Here is a 27925-nt window from a genome sequence, read left to right on the forward strand (position 1 = left end):
GTTTACAGTTCAGGTTTCCCTCCTCACTCCTGGTCCCATAGAAGTTTATTCTGGGTTTCTGCCCCTGTCCATTCTGAGTCTCTCTGTCCATCTGTCAGTCTCTCCAGTGCTGGGGCAACAGTTTGCCCTGTGACCTCACTTTGATGGACCTAGGAAGAATTCCTGATTTTTCAGTGTGTTCAGCTTTTTACTTGTTGTTAAGATAGAGTGATAACCATCAAGCTTTTTACATGCTCGACTGGAAACTGGAAATTACACTAAATTTTAAAGTGTAAGATTGACAAATCTTGGAGATTCTAATTGCTTTTCTTTTTTTACTTGTATTGTCCATCTTTTTTTTTTTTTTTTTTTTTTTTTGAGATGGAGTCTCACCCTGTTGCCCAGGCTGGAGTGCAGTGGCACAATCTCAGCTTACTGCAAGCTCCGCCTCCCAGGTTCACACCATTCTCCTGCCTCAGCCTCCTGAGCAGCTGGGACTACAGGCGCCTGCCACCACACCTGGCTAATTTTTTGTATTTTTAGCAGAGATGGGGTTTCACCGTGTTAGCCAGGATGGTCTAGATCCCCTGACTTCGTGATCTGCCCACCTCAGCCTCCTAAAGTGCTGGGATTATAGGCGTGAGCCACCATGCCTGGCTATATTGTCCATCTTCATTGACTCCTTAAGTTGTTCCAGATTCTCATTTATGGAACCCTATATCTGTGTGATTTGAATCTTTTAATATCTATTGAGACTCCTATTATGATTCAGGTATGATCTCTCTTGGAAAATATTCTGTGTCCACCTTAGAAAAATAGGTGCTTTGCTGTTGTTGGTTAGAATGTTATAGAAATCTTAATTAGGTCATACTGGTTGATAGCATTGTTCAAATCTTCTTTATCTTTATTGATTTTCCATTAACTGTTCTGGCAATTATTGAGAAAGAGGTTTTGAAATAGCCAACTATAATTGTCTTGTTTTCTCTTTCCAGTTCTGTCAGTTTTTCCTTCATGTATTTTGAAGGTCTGTTACTTAGGTGCATAAAGGCTTAGAATTTTTATGTCCTCTAGGCATGGGCAAGGACTTCATGTCTAAAACACCAAAAGCAATGGCAACAAAAGCCAAAATTGACAAATGGGATCTAATTAAACTAAAGAGCTTCTGCACAGCAAAAGAAACTACCATCAGAGTGAACAGGCAACCTACAGAATGGGAGAAAATTTTTGCAATCTACTCATCTGACAAAGGGCTAATATCCAGAATCTACAATGAACTCAAACAAATTTACAAGAAAAAAACAAACAACCCCATCAGCAAGTGGGCAAAGGATATGAACAGACACTTCTCAAAAGAAGACATTTATGCAGCCAAAAGACACATGAAAAAATGCTCATCATTGCTGGCCATCAGAGAAATGCAAATCAAAACCACAATGAGATACCATCTCACACCAGTTAGAATGGCAGTCATTAAAAAGTCAGGAAATAACAGGTGCTGGAGAGGATGTGGAGAAATAGGAACACTTTTACACTGTTGGTGGGACTGTAAACTAGTTCAACCATTGTGGAAGTCAGTGTGGCGATTCCCCAGGGATCTAGAACTAGAAATACCATTTGACCCAGCCATCCCATTACTGGGTATATACCCAAAGGATTATAAGTCATACTGCTATAAAGACACATGCACACATATGTTTATTGCGGCACTATTCACAATAGCAAATACTTGGAACCAACCCAAATGTCCAAAAATGATAGACTGGATTAAGAAAATGTGGCACATATACACCATGGAATACTACGCAGCCATAAAAAGGATGAGTTCAGGTGCTTTGTAGGGACATGGATGAAGCTGGAAACCATCATTCTCAGCAAACTATCGCAAGGACAAAAAACCAAACACCACATGTTCTCACTCATAGGTGGGAAGTGAACAATGGGAACACTTGGACACAGGAAGGGGAACATCACACACCGGGGGCCTGTTGTGGGGTGGGGGTCGGGGGGAGGGATAACATTAGGAGATATACCTAATGTTAAATGACAAGTTAATGGGTGCAGCACACCAACATGGCACATGTATACATATGTAACAAACCTGCACATTGTGCACATGTACCCTAAAACTTAAAGTATAATTTAAAAAAAAAAAACAGAGCAGCTGAAAAAAAAAAGAATGTTTATGTCCTCATGATGAATTGATTCCTCAGTCATTGTTAAATGGCTCTCTTTATCCCAGATAGTATTCTTTGCTCTGAAATCTACCTTAATATTAATATAGCTTATCTAGATTTATTTTGGTTAATATTAGCATAGTATATCTTTTTATGTCCTTTTAGTTTTAACCTATTTGTGCCTTTATATTTGAAGGGGAGTTCTTGTAGGGAGCATATAGTTGTGTCCAATCTGTCAATCTCTGTCTTTTAATTGGAGTATTTAAATCATTTCTATTTAGTGCTATTTATTTAAAATTTTTTGTCATTTAAAATTTTTGTGGGCACATAGTAGGTATGTATATTTATGGGGTACATGAGATATTTTGATACAGATATGCAATGTGAAATAAGCACATCATGGAGAATGGGATATTCATTCTCTGAAGCTTTATTGTTTGCATTACAAACAATCCAGTTACATCTTTAAGTTATTTAAGACTTACAGTCACCCTGTTGTGCTATCACGTAGTAGGTCTTACTCTTTCTGATATAATGTAATGTATTGATATTGTTGGCTCTTAATCTAGCATCTTGCTGTTAGTTTTCTGTTTGTCTCATCTGGTTTTTGTTCCCTTTACCCTATTTTTTTGCTTTCTTTTGGATTAAGCACCTTTTGTGTTCCATTTTAATTCCTTTGTTAGCTTATTAGCCATAATTTTTTTTTTTGAGACAGAGTCTCGCTCTGTCATTCAGGCTGGAGCGCGGTGGTGCAATCTTGGCTCACTACACCCTCTGCCTCCTGGGTTCTAGTGATTCTCCTGCCTTAGCCTCCCGAGTAGCTGGGACTACAAGCATGCACCACCACGCCCGGCTAGTTTTTGTATTTTTAGTAGAGACGGGGTTTCACTATGTTGGCCAGGCTGGTCTCGAACTCCTGACCTTAAGTGATCCGCTGGCCTCAGCCTCCCAAAGTGCTGGGATTACAGGCACGAGCCACCATGCCTGGTCAGCTGTAATTTTTTGTTTTGTATGTTTAGTGGTTGCTTTAGGGTTTAGAGTAAACATCTTTACTTCTCATAGTCTACCTTCAAGCAGTATTACGCACTTCATGGATAGCATGAGGAACTTAACAGCAGTCTCCTTCCATTTCCTCCCTCCTGGCCTTTGTGCAAGTGTTTTCATGCATTTTATTTATTTATTTATTTATTTATTTATTTATTTATTTATTTATTTATTTTTGAGACGGAGTTTTGCTCTTATTGCCCAGGCTGTAGTGCAGTGGCGCCATCTCAGCTCACTGCAGCCTCCACGTCCTGGGTTCAAGCGATTCTCCTGCCTCAGCCTCCTGAGTAGCTGGGATTACAGGTGTGCACCACTATGCCCGGCTAATTTTTGTATTTTTAGTAGAGATGGGGTTTCATCATGTTGGTCAGGCTGGTCTGGAACTCCTGACCTCAGATGATCCACCCGACTCGGCCTCCCAAAGTGCTGGGATTACAGGCATGAGCCACTGTGCCCAGACTGTTGTCATGCATTTTAATTCTACATATATTAGAAACCCCACAATAATTCATCATTTTTTATTAAGTAGTCAATTCTTTCTTTTTTTGAAAGAAGAAAGAAGTTGAATTTTCTAACATGTCATAAGCGTGCAGGCAGGTCATCAGAGTCTGTGCTGTTTCTGTCTTGTTGGCCTTGCCATCCTGAAGGTTTTGCCGCCATCCTCCTATTCAATTTATTTATCACTGTATCTCCCTTCCAGCTAGCTGGGGGGCAGGGAGAAGAGGTGAAGGGGGTACAACTCAGAGGTTGCACATGGTGCTTTCTCTCTCATTTCTTTGGCCAGAATGTTCTTGTGCAGCCATGCTTAATGGGAGATGAAGGTCTGGGAGAGGTTGTCCTCCTTTTGGATTGCCAGGCTCCCACTAAAAATCAGGGGTTCTGTTACCTCAGAGTTAGAAAACTGCAGCCATGGGCCAAATCTGGTCTACCACCTATTTTTGTGCTACCTGTAAGCTAAAAATGATTTTTCCATTTTTAAATAGTTGAAAAAATCCAGAGAGAAAGAATATTTTGTGACACATTAAAATTATATGAAATTGAAATCTCAGTAGTTACAAATAAAGTTTTACTGAACATAGCTGGACTCATTTTCTTACATATTGTATACAGCTGCTTTTGCACTGTCAGAGCTGAGTTGAGTGGCCGCGCCCCAGGCCACCTGTCCCACAATCCCACAAAGCCTGCAGTATTTACCAGCTGGTGCTTTGCAGAAGGAGTTTGCTGACCCTGATCTGGAGCAAGGACTGAATGATATTCCAGGATAACTAACAGACCCTGCCACACTCCCCAGCACAGAGACTTCAGATTTTGTGTGTCCCTGTAAATTTTAATTCTCTTTTAAAGAGATTTTTAAGATAAGAATATATGTTTTTATATTTCCCTTCATATTTATCATTTCTGGTGGTGGTCTTTATTCTTTTTTTTTTTTTTTCTTTTCAGAGACAGGGTGTTGCACTGTTGCCCAAGCTGGAGTGCAGTGGTGTGATCATGACTCACTGAAGCCTCAAACACCTCAGCCTCCCGAGTTGCAGGGACTAGGCTCACACCACCATGCCTGGCTAATTTTCAAATTTTATTTAGAGACAGGTTTTCATTATGTTGGTCAAGCTGGTCTCAAACTCCTGACCTCAGGTAATCTTGCCCGCCTCGGCCTTCCAAAGTGCTGAGATTACAGGTGTGAGCCACTGCACGCTGAGACCTTTCTTTGGCTTACTTTGCTTGGATGGAGCACATCCATACCCTAAGGGCAGGGTATGGGAGCTGTTTCTCAGCTCTTGAGCCCTGTTACTCTCATTGCAATGGCAGAGGTGGCTTTCTGGATTGCAGATCAATTTCCTCATTACTTATGACACTGCACATATTTTCATGTTCCTTTTGGCAATTCGTCTGTTCTCCTTTGTGAAATTCCTGTTTACGTGTTTTCTTATAATAAGCTTTGAGAGTTTTTATTTTTTATGGAGACAGAGTCTCCATATGCTGGCCAGGCTGGTCTCAAACTCCTGGCCTCAAGCAGTCCTCCTGCTTCAGCCTCCCGAAGTGCTGGGATTATAGGTGCAAGCCACTGTGCCTGGCTGAGTTTTTAAAATATATTCTGGAGACGTCATTTGTATTATAGATAGATTTCCTTCTAGTCTGTGGCTTTTCATTTTCTTAATGGTATTTTTCAGAGGAGAAGTTTTTGATTTTTGGTAAAGTCTAGCTAATCCTTTTTCTTTTAGGATTTTATGTCCTATTTAAGAAATCTTTGCTTTCTCTATATTTTCTACTTTTGGCTTTTACATTTAATTCTAGGATCCATCTCAAGTTAGTGATGTGAGGTAAGGGTCAGGATTTGGTTTTGTTTTTTCCATGTGGGCATCCAGTTGTTCCACTACATATTATTTTGTATTTGTGGAGCTGCATCTTCAAGGTGGGTTCCTGGAAGAAGGGTTTCTGGTCAAAGAATGGTTTTATCTCTGTTGCCAGGTGCTGTGGGTCCTGTATCATCTGGGAGTCTCATGGGAATCTAGGAGACTGCCTGTTTGCCCATAGCCTCACCAGCAGAGTTTCAAGTTTTTGGATCTTTTTCAGTTTGCAGTGAGAAATAGTATCTTAGATGAGTTTGCATTTGCATTTCTCTTATTATGAGTGCCACTTATGATTCTTTAAGAAGTCACATACATTAATTGTGATTTTTTTTTTTTTGAGACAGAGTTTTGCTCTCATTGCCCAGGCTAGAGTGCAATGGCACGATCTCAGCTCACCACAACCTCCGCCTCCTGGATTCAAGTGATTCTCCTGCCTCAGCCTCCTGAGCAGCTGGGATTACAGGCATGCGCCACCACACCTGGCTAATTTTGTATTTTTAGTAGAGACGGGGTTTGTCCATGTTGATCAGGCTGGTCTCGAACTCCCGACCTCAGGTGATCCACCCGCCTCAGCCTCCCAAAGTGTTGGGATTATAGGCATGAGCCACTGTGCCCAGCCTTGTTGTGATTTAATATATATTTGGACGTCTTTTCATCATCTCATTTTGTGGGTATGTGTTCTTTTTTTTTTTTTAAGACAGAGTCTCGCTCTGTCACCCAGGCTGGAGTGCAGTGGCTCACTGCAGGCAGTGAGATCATGGCTGACTGCAGCCTCTGCCTCCCAACTTTAAGCAATTCTCCCACCTCAGCCTCCCAAGTAGCTGGGATTAAAGGCACGCACCACCATGCCCAGCTAATTTTTGTATTTTTAGTAGAGACAGGGTTTCACCATGTTGGCTGGGCTGGTCTTGAACTCCTGACCTCAAGTGATCCACCTGCCTTGGGCTCCCAAAGTGTTGGGATTACAGGCGTGAACCACCACTCCTGGCCTCTTTTTGTGTTTTCTATTGACCGTAATTTTCCTTTCTATTTTCTTTATTATTTTCTGCCTCCTCTTGAATTGACCATTTTCCCCCTCTTCCTTTTTTACTCTTATATATATTGTATTTCATTTCTCTGAGCCTTAAATTTTATATATAGCTATACTTTCTAATGAAGTTTCAAGGTCATCATTGTCTGTCCTCACATCAAGAACGTCACATTTTCTTTTCTAAACTCCTCTTTTCATTTCTGTTCTGTTTTCTAAAATTTTAATTTAACTTGTTTTGTAAATGCATTTTGCACTCAGTTTTTCTTTCAAGTTCTTTGGAGTGGAATTGCTTGGGTTCGAATCCCAGATCTGTTCTTTATTAGCTGAAATAAACATGGGCAAGTTATTTCACCTTTCTGTGCTTGCTTTTCCTAATCTGAAAAGGGGGAAATAATTGTGCCCGTAGAGAAATCACATGGAATTCAATAACGCACATGGTACCTATCACATAGAATTGAATCAGTTAATTCATATAAAGCATTTAGAATAGTTCTTGATATAAGTACTAAGTAGATGTTGATTATATAATTAATATTATTGTACTACTGGTTTATTTTTCTCATTCCCCAAATATATACTTCGTAGTTCTTTAAGTAGGGAGGTGTCTTTGTTCACGTTGCTGTAAAGGAATACCTGAGACAATAATTTAGCAAGAAAAGAGGTTTATTTGGCTCACAGTTGTGCAAGCTGTATAAGAAGCATAGAGCTGGCATCTGCTTATGGTGAGGCCTCAGGAAGCTTCCAATCATGGCAGAAGGGGAACAGGAGCTGCATGTCACCTGTCAAGAGAGGAAGAGAGAAAGTGGAGGGAGTGCTAGGCTATTTATTTATTTAGATTTTTTGAGATGGAGTCACACTCTGTCACCCAGGCTGGAGTGCAGTGGCACAGTCTCAGTTCACTGCAACCTCCACTTCCCAGGTTCAAGTGATTCTCCTGCCTCAGCCTCCCAAGTAGCTGGGACTACAGGTGTGCGTCACCACGCCTAGATAACTTTCATATCCAGGATTTCACCATGTTCAGCAGGCTGGTCTTGAACTCCTGACCTCAAGTGATCCACCCACCTCAGCCTCCCTAAGTGCAGGGTTTACAGGCATGCTGTTGCACTTGGCCTGTTTGGTTTCATAAATACTATTACTTCTTTTATTTCTTGGATATTTTAATTCAGTTTATTTGAAAGTCCTTTTCAGACAGATGTTTTATCTTCATATCGTCAGATGTGGATATTTCTCTCCCAATCTCCTTTTTTTTTTTTTTAACTCTTTATGATGGCATTGAACTACTTTGCGGACTTAGTGATTTTTGTTTGAGAGCTTATCTTGCATGAACATTTCTCTCTTGGCGAATTTTAACTACCACCTCCACTCCTGGTTCCAGAGTTTATCTTTTTGGCTAAAAGGTTAATTACCTGATAATGTAATTCCAAACCAGAAGACCACGTGACATGCAGACTTGGGTTCCAAATTACTTTAAAGAAGGGTTAGGGCATTTTATAATATTTCACATTTCTAGTGCTGCTGCTTATTTCAATGAGTTATTTAATAGGTGAAAGGCGTATCTTGTCATTTCAATTTGTGTTCCTTTTATTAATAGTAGGACACTTTTCTAGAATTGCCTCTGTGTTTCCCTCATAAATGATTGCCGGGTAAAACAACAGCCATTTTATAATGCTCATGGGTTCTGTGGTCAGGAATTCGGAATGGGCATGGCAGGAGGGTTTGCCTTTATTCCACACTGTCCAGGGCCTCAGACAGGGAGACGTGAGGGCTGGCATTAACTAAGTGGGGGCAGTGATCTGAGGACTCAGGCACGTTCTGGCAGTTGATGCTGGCTTTTGGCTGGGACCTCAGCTGGGACTCTTGTCCGAAATGTCCTGGTATCCTTTCCATGTGGCTGCTTCCCCACAGCGTCATGGCTGGGCTTCAAATGTGAGCGTCCAAGACCACAGATCCTGAGTATGTGGCCTTTTCGTAATGTCACTTTAGAAGTCTCACAGCACCACTTCTGGGTGGGTTATGAGCCCACCCAGGTTCACAGGAAAGGATCATAGAGCCCACCTCTTGGCAGGAGGCAGAGTCGCATTGTAAGAAGAGCCTGTGTGTTGGGAGATGTTGCCATGGTCTTCTGAGGGAAATGTCATCTGACAAGTTGGGAAAATACTATTGTGTTCCGTTATTAGCTGGTATGGGAATTTTTAGAACATTTTAATTGTTTTTACAATAAAGGTTGAGACAAGATTTTAAAATTTAATCCCCTCGAGTAAGGTTTACTACAAATTCATATTCCATAAAAATTTAACATATTAAGATTTTATAATGGTATTTGCTTTTATTATATTCCTTTTTATCCTATTTTCTATTAATATCACTTTTTGGTGTAGCTTTTTTATTACCATTTTTATTTTGCAGACAAAGCTGTAAAATGTAATATGGATTCATTGAGAGATTCACCTAAAGACAAATCTGAAAAGAAACACCATTGCATCTCTTTAAAAGATACAAATAAGGTTGTATTTTAAAAATGTTCTTTAAATACAAAGTTCATATAGTGTTAATTTTCAAATTTTCTCTTTTGAAATCTATCTGAAACCAAAAATATGTTTTCTATTAAAAAATCATTGGCCATGATAGTTTCCTTCATGAGAAAATATAGTTTGCTTGTTTGCTTATTTTGAAAGGAGAAAGTAGCTCCAGCTTCTTCATGTCGAGCTCTTGTTCTCGGCCTAGTTTTCTTTCTACAAAATTGGATATTGATCCTCCTTTTAATGAAGGTGTGAAAATCTGGGATTCCAGGGCATTGTCCTAGTGAAGTGCAAGTCTAATCTGCTCTCCGTCCCTTTGACAAGACAGGTTGAAAGTAATTGCAGGACATTTTAAGTACTGACGATCTGGAATGCCAGCTGCCTGCCATTTGGACATTTAATGTAGTGGTTATAGCGCTGGCATAATCACCCAACTTTCCAGTTTTTTATCTCTCTATCTCTGTGTGTGCATGAAAGATGTCTGGGATGGTTGTTCATGAGAATAACTCCCATGGAATTTTGGTTCCAAAAGAATGTATATTATGTTGCTAGCATACACATTCTTTCTGAAGAAAAGTTTTCTTTTACAGCGTGTTGAATCCTCAGTGTACTGGCCAGCAAAAAGAGGCATAACCATATATGCTGATCCAGATGTACCAGAAGCAAGGTATGATTTGAAAATTCAAACTGGGTGTGGTGGCGCCTGCCTGTAGTCCCAGCTACTGGGGAGGCTGAGCTGGGGGGATCGCTTAAGCCCAGGAGGTCGAGGCTTCAGTGAGCTATGATCGTACCACTGTACTCCAGCCTGGGTGACAGAGTGAGACTCTTATCTCTAAAATAATAATAATAATAATTCGGTGTAATTGACAAGAGACTTAAGAGTGATGTTGTCTTATACAGTGTTCTATAAGATTGATGATTGGAAAATAGTCCATTTTCAAAGAGTGGCCCAGGAAATTTTGGTTAAACATATTAACTTAAAGGAAAAATGTGACACCTGGTTGGCAGCAAAGTTGACTGAAAACTGGTAGTGGCCCTAGAGTCTGTCTCCTCTTTGCCTTTTTGGACAGAGTTGTCCCTGTAAGGCAGGTCTGAAGATTGGCACAGAGTGGTCCTGATGAGAGGGATGGCCTCACGTGGCCAGATGGCAGCACAGGGTGGGTGGTTACCCAGGGCGGAAAGAGAAGAATGGTTTCGTGAGTATCAGAGGCTGGGTCTGTACTTTGTCCTCTTCAAGATACATGTCAGTGACGTTAACAAAATTGCAGAAAGGATGTAATGTTGTACCACTTCTTGAATGGTCTAAGAACACACTTCCCCTCGTGTCGTGGACTTTATGCTGTGGTTGTCATATGTTGTACTTTTACATATATCATAAATGCTAGACTCTATCTCACTTTTATTTAAATAGTCAATTATATTCTAGAGAGAGTTAACTAACAAAAATATCTTCTCTCTTTACCTGTGTGGTTGCATTGGTGTTCTTTACTTTTTGTGTAGCTCCATATTTCCATCTGGTATTATTTTCCTTCCACCTAAGGGCTTCCTTTAATATTTCTTGCATTGCAGGTCTGCTGTTGATGAACTCTTTCAGCTTTTTTTTTTTTAAAAGTATTCATTTTAGGTTCATTTTGAAAAGGATACCTTTGCTAGGTGTAGAATTCTAGGTTGACAGCACTTTATTTAAAGATGTTGTCCCACTGTCTTCTCTCTTGCATTGTTCCCAGCACTGCCTCTGCTGTCACCAGTGCCTTTGTTCCTCTGCTGTTTCCTCTGACTGCTTTTCAGATTTTCTTTTGATTACTGGTTTTAGCAATTTAATTATGATATACTGGCCAGGCATGGTGGCTCACGCCTGTATTCCTAGCACTTTGGGAGGCCAAGGTGGGCAGACCTCACCCGAGGTCAGGAGTTCAAGACCAGCCTGGCCAACATGGTGAAACCCCATCTCTACTGAAAATAAAAAAAAGTTAGCTGGGCGTGGTGGCAGGTGCCTGTAATCTCAGCTACTCGGGAGGCAGAGGCATGATAATTGCTTGAACCCAGGAGGCGGGGTTTGCAGTGAGCTGAGATCACACCACTGCACTCCAGCCTGGGCAACAGAACAAGACTCCGTTTCAAAAAAAAAAAAATCATAATATACCTTGCTGTCGTTGCTACCATATTTCTTATGCTTGGGGTTCATTAATGTTCTTTGTTTGTAGCTTTCTTACATCAAATAGTCATTATGTCTACAAATATTTTTTTCTGCACCAATCTTTTTCCTCTCCTTTTAGAGACTCTGATGAAACAAATGTCAGATATTTTGATATTGTCCAAAAAGTCCCTGAGGCTCTGTTCATTTTTTCAGCCTTTCAATCTTGCTATTCTGCAGATCAATGATTCTACTGATCTGTCTGTACATTCATTATCTTCTGTCATCCACATTCTGCTATTGAGCCCATCCTGTGAGTATTCTATTTATTATATCTATATTTTTTTGCGACAGGATCTTGCTCTGTTACTCAGGCTCTCAAGTGCAGTGGAGCAATCATAACTCACTATAGCCTTAAACTCCTGGGCTTAAGCGATCCTCCGGCCCCAGCCTCCCAAGTGGCTAGGACTGCAGGCATACACCACCACAGCTGGCTAACATTTTAATTTTTTTGCAGAGATGGAAGTCTCGCTATGTTGCCCTGGCTGGTCTCCAACTCCTGAGACCAAGTGATCCTCCCGCCTTGGCTTACCAAAATATTAGGATTACAGGTGTGAGCCACTGTGCCCGGCCTATATTTCTTGTTTCTAAAATTTTCCTTGTTTTTTTTTTTCAAAAGTTTATATTTCTTTGCTGAGAACTTGTGTGTTTCCACTTGGGAGTGCTGGCCTTTTCTTCTTGTGGAGTGAGTGTCCAGAGATTGCCACCCTGAGCCACCAGAGGTTGGCACCTGCTGATTGTCGTTTCCCTTGGCAGTCGATCTGGTTTTCCTGGGCCCGTGTGTGCTGAGTAACTTTGGACTCACTCTGGATATTTTGAATGTTATGTTGCGAGATTCTGGTTTCTGTTAACATTCTCTAGAGAGTGTTGGTTGGTGTCATTTGTCTTAGCAGGAGGTCGGTACCTCCATGAGGTCCGGCCCTCATGTTCTGCCTTGCGAACTGTGGGTGGCGGTGGCCGTGTGAGCTCAGGCTCTGGGCCCTCGATGCTGCCTGGGGCCTGTTCTGCATCTGCTTAGCTTGGGGCGAGTTGGGGCTTGTGTTGGGTCATGAACCACCTCTCTTTCTTTTCAGAATTTCCCTCACAGTTACCAATTTCTAGGGCCTCCTTCCCCGTATTCCTCTGGCCAGATAGTTTCTCTTGGAGACATTGGTGTGCAGTAATGTGGAATTGGGATACCTTGAGAATAAAACAAGTAAGGGAGAAAAAAGGTGGAGATTTTCCTCACGCAGTCTTTGGACCACAGCTCCCATCTCCCAGTTCCTCTGGCTTCAGGTGCAGGTTTTCTCTCAGGGTTTAAGGTCACCACACTGCTGTTGCTGTTGCTGGGTGCAGCCCCAAGATCAGAGCTGGCCTTGGGGCCCGGTGAGGAAAGAAAAGAAAAACAATGGGGATTCCCCACACTTTCTGGTTTAAAGGGCGCCTCTTCCCGCTTCTCTGGCTTGAAGGAAGAAGTCTCTCCTGGAGATTCTGGCGTCTGCACCTGCCACAAAGTCATCTTGAGGTCAACACAGAGACACAGAGAGAAAAAAGACAAGAAAGTCCTGGTGATTCTGTTTTTCAAGTGTTTGACTTCTCTCCCCTGCTGTTGGGGCCTCATCCAGAATCTCTAGTTGTGATCAGCAGGAGAGAGAGGCTGTGGCAGGCCTACTCCATCCTGTCCAGCACCACCACCAGAAGTGTCAGAAATGACTTTTATACTTAAAGGACTAAGCTCCAGTTCTCACAGAAATGTGCTTATGTAGATAAACCAATTCCTCAGTGGTGCTTCTTAAATTTTTAATCCAGAAAATAAAGATATTTTCAGGATTGGGGTAAAGGGGTTCACAATTTTTCATTTTTTTAAGAGACAGGGTCTTGCTCTTGTTGCCCAGGCTGGAGTGCGGTGGCACAATCACAGCTCACTGCAGTGTCCAACTCTTGAGCTTAGGCGATCCTCCCACCTTGGCCTCCCGAGTTGCTGGGACTATAGGTGCACACCACCATGCCCGGCATTTTTTATTTTTTTATTTTTGTCGAGATGGGGACTCACTGTGTTGCCCAGGCTGCTGTTCACAAATTTTAATGAATTTTTTTTTTTCATTTCTAGTGCTTTAAGTCAGAAGTCAAATGAGAAACCTCTTAGATTGACTGAGAAGAAAGAATATGATGAGAAGAATAGCTGTGTGAAGTAAGAATTTTTTCCTTGGCCTGAATTGTGTATTGAAATAATTATAATAAAATTATAAACAAGAGAAATCTACACATTTTATTATTAATTTCAAACCTGCATTCCCATCAAAAAATAAATGTACAGTATATCTCCTGTAGGGTTTGAGGTTAATTTTTGCTTTTCCATCCACTTGGGCACATTTTTCTGTTTAAAGCTTTGTTCCAGTGTAAGTAGTCATTTTCTACCTTGCCTTCTGGATTCTCTTGGTGAAGTGAACAGTGTCACAAATCAAATTAGATACAGTTGATCTTTTGGGGCTGTTGATGTTCTTTGGGTTGGTCTTTGCTTTCTTTCCAGTTCTCTGAGGCAACACTGCTAGAGAAACTGAGCAGTTTGCCTTGATTTCATACTTGTGTAATCTGTAAAATATTTACATAGCAATTTTCGTTTTGAGACAAGGTCTTCCTCTGTCATTTAGGCTGGAGTGCAGTGGTGCAGTCACAGCTCACTGCAGCTTCGACCTCCTAGGCTCAAGCGATCCTCCCACCTCAGCCTCCCAAGTAGCTGGGACCATAGGCATGCACCACCATAACTGATTTACATATATATATATATATATATATATATATATATATATATATATATATTTTTTTTTTTTTTTTTTTTTTTTTTTTTTTTTTGTAGGACGAGGGTCTCGCTATGTTACCCAGGCTGGTCTCAAAGTCCTGGCCTCAAATGATTCTCCTACCTCTGCCTTTCAGAGTGCTGGGATTGCAGGCATGACCACAGCTTCCAGCCTCATGCCATTTTTATACTTTTTACCATATTGGCCTCAACAGTTTTACATTCCAAGTAACTGTAGCTGCCCTGGAGCTCCCAGAGTGACAAAGTGTGAGACAGGTCAGAGGTGGGGAGGTCCTGCTGTTTCCACTGGTTGGCCTTGGGGGTTGGAGCCAGGGTGTGGACTCTGCAGCCATGTGGGCTTCCCAGCTTCCCAGAGGCCATGCTGATGACCTGCCAGGGCTTCTTACCCCACAGGACACCACCCAGGATTTCAAGGGTGAGGCTTTGAAAGCTTCCACGAGCCCACAGAGTTGGGGATGGCTGTTGATGCACCTAACTGACACCCCCCTCCCAGGGCAACCTCAGCCCTAATACCCAAAGGTTTTGCTGTCACAGTCGTTATTTTCCTTGGAACAGAAGGCCATACAGCTTATTTCTTTCTTTTATTATTTTCAATTATAACCTGGCAAATTAACCCTGGAATATTCTTTTTTTCATTATTTATTTATTTATTTTTTAATTGGAGACGGAATCTTGCTCTGTCACCCAGGATAGAGTGCAATGACATGATCTTGGCTCACTGCAACCTCCACCTCCTGGGTTCAAGCAATTCTCCTGCCTCAGCCTCCTGAGTAGCTGGAATTACAGGCGCCTGCCACCACGTCCAGCTAATTTTTGTATTTTTAGTAGAGATGGGGTTTTGCCATGTTGGCCAGGCTGGTCTCGAACTCATGACCTCAGGTGATCCGCCCACCTTGGCTTCCCAAAGTGCTAGGATTACAGGAGTGAGCCACTGTGCCCGGATGACCCTGGAACATTCTATTCCCTTTTATTTTCGTATTAAAAAGTTCTGTCTTGTCTCCTGTTCTGTTAAAATGCCCTTTACTTAGAACCCACTGATTAAACAACATCAGTTATCCTGTCAGTCTCCTGTGGGTTTCAGGGAACTTTGAGGTAATTCAGGATTAAACATCAAAGAAGGCTTTGAGTTCCTTAGGGACACAGGGATGACCTGGTGATCCTGGGACCCTCCCCCTTGACTGCGCAGAGGTCCAGCATTGGCTGCACTGCGTCCAAAGCCTGGGGAACCCTGTGCTGTCATTTCTGGCGAGATAGCCAAGGCAGCCTGGAGGAGAGGCACCCTTTCCTTAAGGATGGCCAGTCAGAGACCCGCATTGCCGCATCCCCAAACCTCACTTGGGACTATGATAACGACTGTCACAATGTGGGCAGAGGGGCACAGGGACCTTGGCTCATTGCCAGGGGCCAGGTGTCCCACTAGCCTCCTCTGTGTGACACCTGTGGTTTTCTTTTCCTGTCTTTTTGTCTCGCTGATGGAGTTGCTCAAGCCTGTAAGTACCAGTAAGCGGTTGTATTTCTTTCTCCTCGGGCCTGTTCCTTCATATAACTCATTTGGAAACCCCCAAGTTACAGTACATTCTGGAAGAGGTCACCCCAGATGCAGTCTTTCCCATTCCAGGATCACATACCACCAGGATCCCCTTGGGAATCCTGGATACTTGGGTAGCAGAGGAAGTGGCGGGGCCCACACCCAGGTTTAAGGGCTCTCCTAGTGAAATTCTCTCTCTTAATTTTTGGGTGTTCAAGAGAAACTGCTCTGTTTTGCTAAGGGCTTCTGGAGGTGGCAAGGCAGCCTGGATTGGGCTGAGATCGTGTTTCTAAGCTGGTGCCAGCTTCCGCCCAGCCCGTGGAAATATGCTAGGTGGTGGGTGAGTCTCAACTCTGTGTGTTGACCCTCGCAGCATTATTTTCAGGAGGCTTTTGGACTTTGACAATGCAGCCATATGTGCTGCGGGGAGTACTTTCATAACTGGTTAAGATGTCCTGAGCATAGGAGGGTGGAGTGGTACCTGCTTGCCACTCACGTCATCTCTGATATTTAATGTACCCTGGAGCTCTCTCTGCAGTTCTTTGTCTTTCCTTCTTCTGTGTCCCTCTTGCCTACTGTGATATTCATTCTTTATTCTTCTGTTGTCTTCCTTTAAACATTTTAACATCAGCCTACTTTGTACTGCCCACTGATTGAAGATGGAAAATTCTCCGAATATGCCCATTCTTTTTTTCTTTTCTTTTTTTTTTTTTTTTTGAGACAGAGTCTCGCTCTGTAGCCCAGGCTTGAGTGCAGCGGTACAATCTCGCCTTGCTGCAACCTCCGCCTCTCGGGTTCAAGCGATTCTCCTGCCTCAGCCTCCCGAGTAGCTGGGATTACAGGCGCATGCCACCATGCCCAGCTAACTTTTTTGTATTTTTAATAGAGACGGGGTTTCGCCATGATGGCCAGGCTGGTCTCGAACTCCTGACCTCAGGTGATCTGCCTGCCATTAGCTTCCCAAAGTGCTGGGATTACAGGCATGAGCCACTGCACCTGGCCCAAATATGCACATTCTTTGTGATACCATTTCAATGTCAGAGTCTGAACAGCAATGCATGTCGAAGCCTGGACTGAAATGCCCTTCACACAAACTGCTGAGTCCAGGGTCAGACACTGTCCTTCCAGACCCGAGCCCTCTGCCAAAGAACACAGTGAGTGGTGAGAACGCAGCTCTGTTGTACAACCCTTCCTCCTCCCTCTTGAAATCACACCCACACGTCTGTTCTTCCCATGACTCCACTCTCCCCACGTCATGATTCTGGTGAGATGAGTGTTCATTGTCCCTGGGCTGTGAGCAGGTGAGTGCTGCGGAGCTCTGCAGTCACACAGCACGGCTGCTTCTCTGTTTTCACATAGCCTTTTGGTTTACCTGAAGTTAATAATTATCTTGTTTTTTTCTTTCCTTGGGTTTTTTTTTTTTTAATGGGGTCTCACTGTGTTGCCTAGGCTGGTCTCAAACTTCTGGCCTCAAGCAATCCTCCTGCCTCAACCTCCCGAGTAGCTGGGACTACTGTCTGCCACCATGCCTGGCTCACTTCCCTAAGTTTTTAATCTATCTTTTTTTTTTTTTTTTGAGATGGAGTCTCGCTCTGTTGCCCAGCCTGGAGTGCAGTGGCGCGATCTCAGCTCACTGCAAGCTCCACCTCCTGGGTTCACGCCATTCTCCTGCCTCAGCCTCCCAAGTAGCTGGGGCTACAGGCACCCACCATCACGCCTGGCTAATTTTTTTGTATTTTTAGTAGAGACGGGGTTTCACCGTGTTAGCCAGGATGGTCTCTATCTCCTGACCTCAAGATCTGCCTGCCTCGGCCTCCCAAGTGCTGGGATTACAGGCGTGAGCCACCGCGCTCGGCCATTTTTAATCTATCTTAAAGATTCATCCCCAGAATTCTCCTCTGTTATCTAAACTCAGGTTCTCACTTGTGTGTCTTTGGACATCCCTCCAGACCCTTTCTGCCTGCTTTGGTTTGTGCCTGATATGTCCCGTGTTCATTGTCACCAACATCCTGAGATTCTCTGCATCTTTCTTGAATTGAATCTCCTCTTTTCCAGATCATCCATCTTCTTCTTACTTGGTTTACTCCCTTGTTTTGGTGGAGAGCATCCTTTAGTAGCTTTCTAGGAAGGGAGACACAAAACATAAATTTTTTAGAGACTTTGCATAAATGCTTTTAGATTATCTTCACACTTGATCAATAGTTTGGGTATACATTTTGAAGACATTTCTACTTCTAGTTTCTAGTGTAGAGACGTCCACTCTATTCTGATTTCTTATTCTTTATATATGACTCCTTTCCTTTTCTCTCTCTCTCTCTCTCTCTCTCTGGAAGCTTATAGGATCTTCCTTTGTTGCCGGTGTTTGGAAGTTTCCTGATGTTGTGCCTTGGTGTGGTTCTATTATTATGCTTGTCATTCAGTGGACACTTCCAGTGTGTAGCCTCATGTCCCTTACCCCTGGGAAATTCTCTTGACTTTTTCGTTGTTCTCTTGTGCTGCGTGTTCTCTGTCTTCTTTTAAGAACCTCTGTGACTCGTATGTTGAACCTCCTGAATTGGTTGAGTAATTTTATAAAATATATTTTTCTTTTTTTTTTATTATACTTAAAGTTCTGGGTTACATGTGCGGAATGTGCAGTTTTGTTACATAAGTGTACATGTGCCATGGTGGTTTGCTGCACCCATCAACCTGTCACCTACATTAGGTATTTCTCCTATTGTTATCCCTCCCCTAGCCCCCCACCCCCCACAGGCCCCAGTGTGTGATGTTCTCTTCCCTGTATCCATGCGTTCTCATTGTTCAGCTCCCACTTAGGAGTGAGAACATGCAGTGTTTGGTTTTCTGATCTTGTGATAGTTTGCTGAGAATGATGGTTTCCAGCTTCATCCCTGTCCCTGCAAAGGACATGAACTCATCCTTTTTTATGGCTGCATAGTATTCCATGGTGTATATGTGCCACATTTTCTTAATCCAGTCTATCATTGATGGACATTTGGGTTGGTTCCAAGTCTTTACTATTGTGAGTAGTGCCACAGTAAACATACATGTGCATGTGTCTTTATTGTAGAATGATTTATAATCCTTTGGGTATATGCCAAGTAATGGGAATGCTGGGTCAAATGGTATTTCTGGTTCTAGATCCTTGAGGAATCACCACACTGTCTTCCATGATGGTTGAACTAATTTACATTCCCACCAACAGTATAAAAGCATTCCTGTTTTTCCACATCCTCTCCAGCGTCTGTTGTTTCCTGACTTTTTAATGATCGCCATTCTAACTGGCATGAGATGGTATCCCATTGTGGTTTTGATTTGCATTTCTCTAATGACCAGTGATGATGAGCATTTTTTCATATGTCTATTGGCTACATAAATGCCTTCTTTTGAGAAGTGTCTGTTCATGTCCTTTGCCCACTTTTTGATGGGGTTGTTTGCTTTTTTCCTGTAAATTTGTTTAAGTTCTTTGTAGATTTTGGATATTAGCCCTTTGCCAGATGAATAGATTGCAAAAATGTTCTACCATTCTGTAGGCTGTTCATTATGATGATAGTTTCTTTTGCTGCGCAGAAGCTCTTTAGTTTAATTAGATTCTATTTGTCAATTTTGACTTTTGTTGCCATTGCTTTTGGTGTTTTAGACATGAAGTCTTTGCCCATGCTTGTGTCCTGAATGGTATTGCCCTGGTTTTCTTCTAGGATTTTTATGGTCCTAGGTCTTGTGTTTAAGTCTTTGATCCATCTTGAGTCTATTTTTGTGTAAGGTGTAAGGAAGGGGTCCAGTTTCAGTTTTCTGCATATGGCTAGCCAGTTTTCCCAACACCATTTATTAAATAGAGAATCTTTTCCCCATTGCTTGTGTGTGTCAGGTTTGTCAAAGATAAGATGGCGGTAGATGTGTGGCGTTATTTCTGAGGCCTGTGTTCTGTTCCATTGGTCTATATATCTGTTTTGGTACCAGTGCCATGCTGTTTTGGTTACCGTAGCCTTGTAGTAAAGTTTGAAGTCAGGTAGCGTGATGCCTCCAGCTTTGTTCTTCTTCCCCAAGATTGTCTTGGCTATGTGGGCTCATTTTTGGTTCCATATGAAGTTTAAAGTAGTTTTCTCCAATTCTGTGAAAAAAGTCAGTGGTAGCTTGATGGGGATAGGTTTGACTCTATAAATTACTTTGGGCAGTAAGACCATTTTCACGATATCGATTCTTCTGATCCATGAGCATGGAATGTTTTTCCATTTGTTTGTGTCCTCTCTTATTTTCTTGAGCAGTGGTTTGTAGTTCTCCTTGAAGAGGTCCTTCACATCCCTTGTAAGTTGTATTCCTAGGTATTTTATTCTCTTAGTAGCAATTGTGAATGGGAGTTCACTCATGATTGGACTCTGTTTGTCTGTTATTGGTGTATAGGAATGCTTGTGATTTTTACACATTGATTTTATATCCTGAGACTTTGCTGAAGTTGCTTATCAGCTTAAGGAAATTTTGGGCTGAGATGATGGGGTTTTCTAAATATGCAATCATGTCATCTGCAAACAGGGGCAATTTGACTTCCTCTCTTCCTATTTGAATACCTTTATTGCTTTCTCTTGCCTGATTGCCCTGGCCAGATACTGCCCTTTCTCTTGCCTGATTGCCCTGCCTTTCCAATACTATGTCAAATAGGAGTGGTGAGAGAGGGCATCCTTGTCTTGTGCCAGTTTTCAAAGGGAATGCTTCCAGTTTTTGCCCATTCAGCATGATATTGGCTGTGGGTTTGTCATAAATACCTATTATGTTGAGTTACATTCCATCGATACCTAGTTTATTGAGAGTTTTTAGCATGAAAGGCTGTTGAATTTTGTCGAAGGCCTTTTCTGCATCTGTTGAGATAGTCATGTGGTTTTTGTTGTTGGTTCTGTTTATGTGATGGATTACATTTATTGATTTGCGTATGTTGAACCAGCCTTTCATCCCAGGGATGAAGCCGACTTGATCATGGTGGATAAGCTTTTTGATGTGCTGCTGGATTCGGTTTGCCAGTATTTTATTGAGGATTTTTGCATTGATGTTCATCAGGGAAATTGGCCTAAAATTCTTTTTTTGTTGTGACTCTGCCAGGCTTTGGTGTCAGGATGATGCTGGCCTCATAAAATGAGTTAGGAAGGATTCCCTCTTTTTCTGTTGATTGGAATAGTTTCAGAAGGAATGGTACCAGCTGCTCTTTCTACCTCTGGTAGAATTCGGCTGTGAATCTGTCTGTTCCTGGAATTTTTTTTGGTTGGCAGGCTATTACAGCCTCAATTTCAGAACCTGTTACTGGTCTATTCAGAGATTCGACTTCTTCCTGGTTTAGTCTTGGGAGGGTGTATGTGTCCAGGAGTTTATCCATTTCTTCTAGATTTTCTAGTTTATTTGCATAGGTGTTTATAGTATTCTCTGATGGTAGTTTGTATTTCTGTGGGATCAGTGGTGATATCCCCTTTATCATTTTTTATTGTGTCTATTTGATTCTTCTCTCTTTTCTTCTTTATTAGTCTTGCTAGTGGTTTATCTATTTTGTTGATCTTTTCAAAAAACCAGCTCCTAGATTCATTGATTTTTTTGAAGGGTTTTCTGTGTCACTATCTCCTTCAGTTCTGCTCTGATCTTAGTTATTTCTTGTCTTCTGCCAGCTTTTGAATTTGTTTGCTCTTGCTTCTCTAGTTCTCTTAATTGTGATGTTAGGGTGTCAGTTTTAGATCTCTCCTGCTTTCCCTTGTGGGCATTTAGTGCTATAATGTGTCCCAGAGATTCTGATGCTTTGTGTCTTTGTTCTCATTGGTTTCAAAGAACATCTTTATTTCTGCCTTCATTTCATTATGTATCCAGTAGTCATTCAGGAGCAGGTTGTTCAGCTTCCATGTAGTTGTGCGGTTTTGAGTGAGATTCTTAATCCTGAGTTCTAATTTGATTGCACTCTGGTCTGAGAGACAGTTTGTTGTGATTTCTGTTATTTTACATTTGCTGAGGAGTGTTTTACTTCCAATTATGTGGTCAATTTTAGAATAAGTGTGATGTGGTGCTGAGAAGAATGTATATTCTGTTGATTTGGTGTGGAGAGTTCTGTAGATGTCTATTAGGTCTGCTTGGTCCAGAGCTGAGTTCAAGTCCCGGATATCCTTGTTAATTTTCTGTCTCGTTGATCTGTCTAATATAGACAGTGGGGTGTTAAAGTCTCCCATTTATTATTGTGTGGGAGTCTAGATCTCTTTGTAGGTCTCTTAAGAACTTGCTTTATGAATCTAGTTAGCTCTTCTTGTTGAATTGATAACCTTTACTATTATGTAATGGCCTTCTTTATGTCTTTTGATCTTTGTTGGTTTAAAGTCTGTTTTAGCAGAGGCCAGGATTGCAACCCCTGCTTTTTTTTTTGCTTTCCATTTGCTTAGTAGATCTTCCTCCATCCCTTTATTTTGGGCCTATGTGTGTCTTTGCACGTGAGATGGGTCTCCTGAATACAGCACACTGATGGGTCTTGACTCTTTATCCAATTTGCCAGTCTGTGTCTTTTAATTGGGGGCATTTAGGCCATTTACATTTAAGGTTAATATTGTATGTGTGAATTTGATCCTGTCATTATGATGCTAGCTGGTTATTTTGCCCATTAATTGATGTAGTTTCTTCATAGTGTCAATGGTCTTTACAATTTGGCATGTTTTTGCAGTGGCTGGTACCGATTGTTCCTATCCATGTTTAGTACTTCCTTCAGGAGCTCTTGGAAGGCAGGCCTGGTGGTGACAAAATCTCTCAGCATTTGTTTGTCTGTAAGGGATTTTATTTCTTCTTTACTTATGAAGCTTAATTTGGCTGGATATGAAATTCTGGGTTGAAAATTCTTTTCAAGAATGTTGAATATTGGCCCCCACTCTCTTCTGGCTTATAGTTTCTGCAGAGAGATCCACTGTTAGTCTGCTGGGCTTCCCTTTGTGGGTAACCTGACCTTTCTCTCTGGGTGCCCTTAACATTTTTGCTTTCATTTCAACCTTGTGAATCTGACAATTGTGTGTCTTGGGGTTGCTCTTCTCGAAAGTATCTTTGTAGTGTTCTCTGTATTTCCTGAATTTGAATGTTGGCCTGCCTTGCTAGGTTGGGGAAGTTCTCCTGGATAATATCCTGAAGAATGTTTTCTAACTTGGCACCATTCTCCCCGTTGCTTTCAGGTACACCAATCAAACATAGATTTGGTCTTTTCACATAGTCCCATATTTCTTGGAGGCTTTGTTCATTTCTTTTTACTCTTTTTTCTCTAATCTTGTCTTATCACTTTATTTCATTAATTTGACCTTCAATCACTGATATCCTTTCTTCCACTTGATCGAATTGGCTGTTGAAGCTTGTGCATGCATCACGAAGTTCCCGTACTGTGGTTTTCAGCTCCATCAGGTCATTTAAGCTCTTCTCTACACTGGTTATTCTAGTTAGCCATTCATCTGACCTTTTTTCAAGGTTTTTAGCTTCCTTACGATGGGTTAGAACATGCTTCTTCAGCTCAGAGAAGTTTGTTATTACTGACCTTCTGAAGCTTACTTCTGTCAACTCATCAAACTCATTCTCCATCCAGTTTTGTTCTGTTGCTGGCGAGGAGTTGTGTTCCTTTGGAGGAGAAGAGACGTTCTGGTTTTTGGAATTTTCAGCCTTTTTGCTCTGGTTTCTCCCCATCTTTGTGGTTTTATCTACCTTTGGTCTTTGATGTTGGTGAGCTACAGATGAGGTTTTGGTGTAGATGTCCTTTTTGTTGATGTTGATGCTATTCCTTTCTGTTTGGTAGTTTTCCTTCTAACAGACAGGCCCCTCAGCTGCAGCTCTGTTGGAGTTTGCTGGAGGTCCACCCCACACCCTGTTTCCCTGGGCAGAGGCTGCAGAACAGCAAATATTGCTGCCTGATCCTTCCTCTGGAAGCTTCATCCCAGAGGGACACCCACCTGTATGAGGTGTCTGTCGGCCCCTACTGGGAGATGTCTCCCAGTCAGGCTACACATGAGTCAGAGACCCACTTGAGGAGGCAGTCTGTCCATTATCAGAGCTCAGGTGCTGTGCTGGGAGAACCACTGCTCTCTTCATAGCTGTCAGGCAGGGACGTTTAAGTCTGGAGAAGCTGTCTGCTGCCTTTGGGTCAGATATGCCATGCCCCCAGAGGTGGAATCTGGAGAGGCAGTAGGCCTTGCTGAGCTGCGGTGGGCTCCACCCAGTTTGAGCTTCCCCGCTGCTTTGTTTACACTGTGAGCATAGAACCGCCTACTCAACCTCAGCAATGGTGGACACCCCTCCCCACACCAAGCTCCCGCATCCCAGGTCGATCTCAGACTGCTGTGCTAGCATCGAGCAAGGATCTGTGGGCGTGGGACCCGCCGAGCCAGGCACAGGAGGGAATCTCCTGGTCTGCTGGTTGTGAAGACTGGGAAAAGCGCAGTATTTGGGCAGGAGTATACTGCTCCTCCAGGTACAGTCAGTCATGGCTTCCCTTGGCTAGGAAAGGGAAACCTTTCCCCTTGTGCTTCCCAGGTGGGGCGACACTCCACCCTGCTTCAGCTCACCCTCCACGGGCTGCACCCACTGTCCAACCAGTCCCAGTGAGATGAACCAGGTACCTCAGTTGGAAATGCAGAAATCACCCATCTTCTGCATTGATCTTGCTGAGAGCTATAGACTGGAGCTGTTCCTATTTGGCCATCTTGAAAGTGCCTGCTCTTTTTTTAATCTCTTTGTCTTTTTGCTTTACTTTTTTTTTTCTTTTTTTTTGTTTTTTTGAAATGGAGTCTCGCTCTTTTGCCCAGGCTGGAGTGCAGTGGTGCGATGTCGGCTCACTGCAGCTTCTGCCTCCTGGGTTCAAGTGATTCTCCTGCCTCAGTCTGGGATTACAGGTGCCTGCCACCACACCTGACTGATTTTTGTATTTTTAGTAGAGACAGGGTTTCACTATATTGGCCAGGCTGGTCTCAAACTCCTGACCTCAAGTGATCTGCCTGCCTCGGCCTCCCAAAAGGCTGGGATTATAGGTGTGAGCCACCACACCCAGCCTGCTTTACTTTTTGGAATGATTTTACAATTTTGTCCTCTACTCATTTTATTGTGTTTTTTATTTCTAATATCACGTTTTTAATTTGCAAGGGTTTTCCTTTTGTTCTCTTTTCTCTTTTCTTTTTCTGACAGTGTCCTGTCCTCGTTTCACATATATGGTAGTTTCTCTCATTTCTCTAAGGAGACTAATGATTTTTGTGGGGGAGTTTTCTTCTCCCTACACTGTTTCTTTTTTTGCAGGGTGCATTACTCGGTTTTTAAGGCTGGAGGCTTTCCTTAGATGTCATGCAGTCCTTGATTGTCTGCCTGTATTTCAACGTAGAGGCCCAGTGAGCCGGTGAGGGTCTCTGAGTGTGCCAAGCCTGTGGGCTGTGGGTCTCTCTGGGGAGCGAGCTGCTGTGAGTACAGGGACCTCTGAATTCCGTCCAGATGCCCAAGGGAAGGCTTCTCCTGTCTCTGGCCCCTGGGGCTAAAGACCTGCCTGTGTCCTGGGAGCTGAGTGGGAGGCACAGGCTGGGTCTCACTGTCCTGTGTGTGCTTAGCCTCCTTCTTTTCAGTTCAGCACCTCTGTTTGCAGCTAGGCCTACAGCCCCGAGTCCTGAGAGTTCTGCTTTATCCTCTCCAGAGAATCAGCCCCTGGCCTTCCTCGGGTTGGGGTGAGTGGCCGTCTGGTGTGGAGTAGTGTAAGGTGATGCAGAGGTTCCCCCCTCTGCCACATTGCTGCAGCCAGGGAGCCTGCCCCTAATTCCTAAGCTTTCTGAAGGTTGTTCTCTGCAGATAGGGTCAGGCCTCCCGCGGCTGGCTCAGGGTCAACTGTCTTGGGGCTGTTACCAGTTTGTCCATCTGTTTTTTAGCTTCCAACATTCTGTTCTGGAATATTGTCTCTAAAACATAGCTTTTTTGAAATATGATTCATGTACCCTTTTTTCAAGTGTACAATTCAGTGATTTTTAGTGTATTCACAGAGTTTGCAACCACACAAGTAAGTGCATACCCATTAGCGGTCACCCTCCATTTTCCTCCCTCCACATCCTTTGGTAGCCAGCTGTCTGCTTTCAGTCTCTATGGGTTTGCCTGTTCAGGACATTTCATATCGATGGGCTCATACGGTGGGTGGGCCTTGGTGACGCTGGTTTCACTGCACAGTGTTTCCAAGGCTCATCTCTGCCATATCATAAACTAGCACAGCATGCCTTTTCATGACTGACTTATATTCCATTGCGTGCATGGAGTGCATTTCATGTACCCATTCATCAGCTGATAACAGTTGGATCTTGTGGCTTTTGCATTTGAAAATCCATTTACAGGGCCGGGCGCAGTGGCTCACGCCTATAATCCCAGCAGTTTGGGAAGCCGAGGCAGGCGGTTCACCTGAGGTCAGGAGTTCGAGACCAGCCTGGACAACAATGGTGAAACCCTGTCTCTACTAAAAATACAGAAATTAGCTGGGTGTGGTGGTGGATGCCTGTAGTCCCAGCTACTCAGGAGGCTGAGGCAGGAGAATCTCTTGAACCTGGGAGGCGGATGTTGCAGTCAGCTGAGATCACACCACTGTACTCCAGCCTGAGTAACAAGAGCGAAACTCCATCTCAAAAAAAAAAGAAAAAAGAAAAAACGCGTTTACAGGAATGAGGCTTTAGGAAGGAGCGCAGTTTGCCATGTGTGTAACCCACCATCTTTATCCTGGAGTCCCCGCCATGTCTGTGCCTTGTGACTTCTCTGTGACTGCCACTGGCCTTACCCATGTTGGGGTTGGGCTGGATCTAGAGGAAAGCAGTTTCAAATTTCTTCTCCTCTCAGCAGAGGTGACTGTGGACAAGTCCTATCTGGTCTTGTTTTCTCATCCATAAAATAAAGATAGTAAAGTACACTAGTGATTCCTGAGCTTGGCTGGGGCCCCTCAGATACTCTCAGGGGGACCTGGGTGGCAGGGTTGTGGCAGCACAGGTACAGGCCCTCATGTCTCATAAACCAAGCAGAACAGAACAGGCAGCAGTTGTACAGCTGAGCCTTGGGCTGTGCAGCCCCTGCTATCTCTGTCAAGGAAGAACTAAAAGAATAGCTCAACTGAGGAAACAAACACCTTTTTCTTCACATTCTTCTTTTAACTATCTTACAGATTACTGCAGTTTTTAAATCCTGATCCTTTGAGAGCTGACGGAATCTCTGATCTCCAGCAGGTATTACAGGCCCTAAAAAAAGTAAAATAAAAAGAGAGAAAAAACTGTTTATTCTTTAAATCCTTCTCCTTCCTCCCTCCAGACTTGAGATTAGAAGAGAAACTCCTTAGATGGGGGACTTAACCTGAAGACATCCTTTTAGAAACGATCGAATGGATTGTTGCTTCTGAGAAATTGTTCCTTGTTTTTTGGATAATAAACGATCTTCCTTTTGGTAGTTTGGTGGTTTTTTTTTTCTTTTTTTTTAAGTAAGCATATATACCCAGGTGTTTACATTGAAATCTATATTTTCTTCATTTCTGTGAAGTTCTTGATCTCCTGTGCTGACGCCTCAGGGCAGACACTGGTTGTCTAATGCACACGTTCTCTCAGTTGCAGAAGCTGAAGGGCCTGCAGCCGCCCGTGGTAGTGCTCCGGAACAAGATCAAGCCCTGCTTAACCATTGACTCGTCGCCGCTGTCAGCAGACCTGAAGAAGGTAAAAGTGCTCGTAAAACTGAATTTATCAAGAATGCCAACTTTTTCTAATAGAGAAGGATTTTGAAATAAATGGCTCTAAGGTTGCATTGTATAATTTCTTTGCTTTTGAAATTCTCTTTTTATTTGAGATTACAGGCATGAGCCACCACACTCGGCCTAATTTCTCATTTATTCTTAAATCCAAGTTAGCTTCTTAGAAGTGAGTGAGTGATTGTTTTGTGAGGCAGCCGCTGTGTAACTGTGAGCCCCTTCTGCAGTCAGGTTTCCAGGATGCCTGTGGACAGGGCTGTGGGAGGAGCAGCAGGCCACCAGGGCAATTGTAATGCACTCCCCGACCGTTCTTTTCAAAATTGTCTTACACACATATGGTTTCATTTGGAAAATTGATCATACGTGTTTATCTACTTTTTTCCTGATTAAAAAAAGTTAAAAAAAAATTTTTTTTAAGATAGGAAGCTAAAACAACCAGGACAAATAGCATGAGAGAGAAGTGGACAGATTCCACAGTCTTAGAAGATGAAAGCAGGAGACAGAGTGTGGCTGCCTCTTCAGGGAAGGAGTGCTTTGCGAGCGAGGGGAGCGTGAACCACCAGCTCTGTCTTCTGAGCACCCACAGCCAGCTTGTA

The 27925-nt window shown here is 42.8% G+C and overlaps 1 protein-coding gene across 11 annotated transcripts in view, besides 3 other annotated features; it reads left to right on the top strand.

Annotated features, from left to right (window-relative positions):
• The window catches only part of TDRD12 (tudor domain containing 12), a 109814-nt gene that overhangs the window by 44005 nt on the left and 37884 nt on the right, over positions 1-27925 (top strand). For 10 of the 11 annotated variants that reach the window (NM_001437947.1, XM_011527473.4, XM_011527475.3 and 7 more), the window contains 5 exons: positions 8982-9079; positions 9685-9761; positions 13378-13458; positions 26760-26820; positions 27193-27297. In NM_001437947.1, the coding sequence (NP_001424876.1) occupies positions 8982-9079; positions 9685-9761; positions 13378-13458; positions 26760-26820; positions 27193-27297 (422 nt within the window). Of the gene's footprint in view, positions 1-8981; positions 9080-9684; positions 9762-13377; positions 13459-26759; positions 26821-26902; positions 27038-27192; positions 27298-27925 lie in introns of those variants that run through there. The other variant, NM_001110822.2, reaches the window with a different exon arrangement.
• Positions 13775-13824: an enhancer, noted in NCBI's record as "active region_14434". NCBI's record gives its function as "activates an Ori minimal core promoter by ATAC-STARR-seq in GM12878 lymphoblastoid cells {active_cell/tissue: GM12878}" and the evidence as "EXISTENCE:reporter gene assay evidence [ECO:0000049][PMID:35858748]".
• Positions 15614-16424: an enhancer, noted in NCBI's record as "NANOG-H3K27ac-H3K4me1 hESC enhancer chr19:33270291-33271101 (GRCh37/hg19 assembly coordinates)". NCBI's record gives its function as "activates a minimal SCP1, AML or CMV promoter by ChIP-STARR-seq in naive H9 embryonic stem cells {active_cell/tissue: H9 hESC(naive)}" and the evidence as "EXISTENCE:reporter gene assay evidence [ECO:0000049][PMID:30033119]".
• Positions 23752-24046: an enhancer, noted in NCBI's record as "tiled region #1108; K562 Activating DNase unmatched - State 4:PromP". NCBI's record gives its function as "activates a minimal TATA promoter and a strong SV40 promoter by Sharpr-MPRA in K562 cells {active_cell/tissue: K562}" and the evidence as "EXISTENCE:reporter gene assay evidence [ECO:0000049][PMID:27701403]".

This window comes from Homo sapiens, chromosome 19 (genome assembly GCF_000001405.40).
Source record: "Homo sapiens chromosome 19, GRCh38.p14 Primary Assembly".
Classification (NCBI taxonomy): domain Eukaryota; kingdom Metazoa; phylum Chordata; class Mammalia; order Primates; family Hominidae; genus Homo; species Homo sapiens.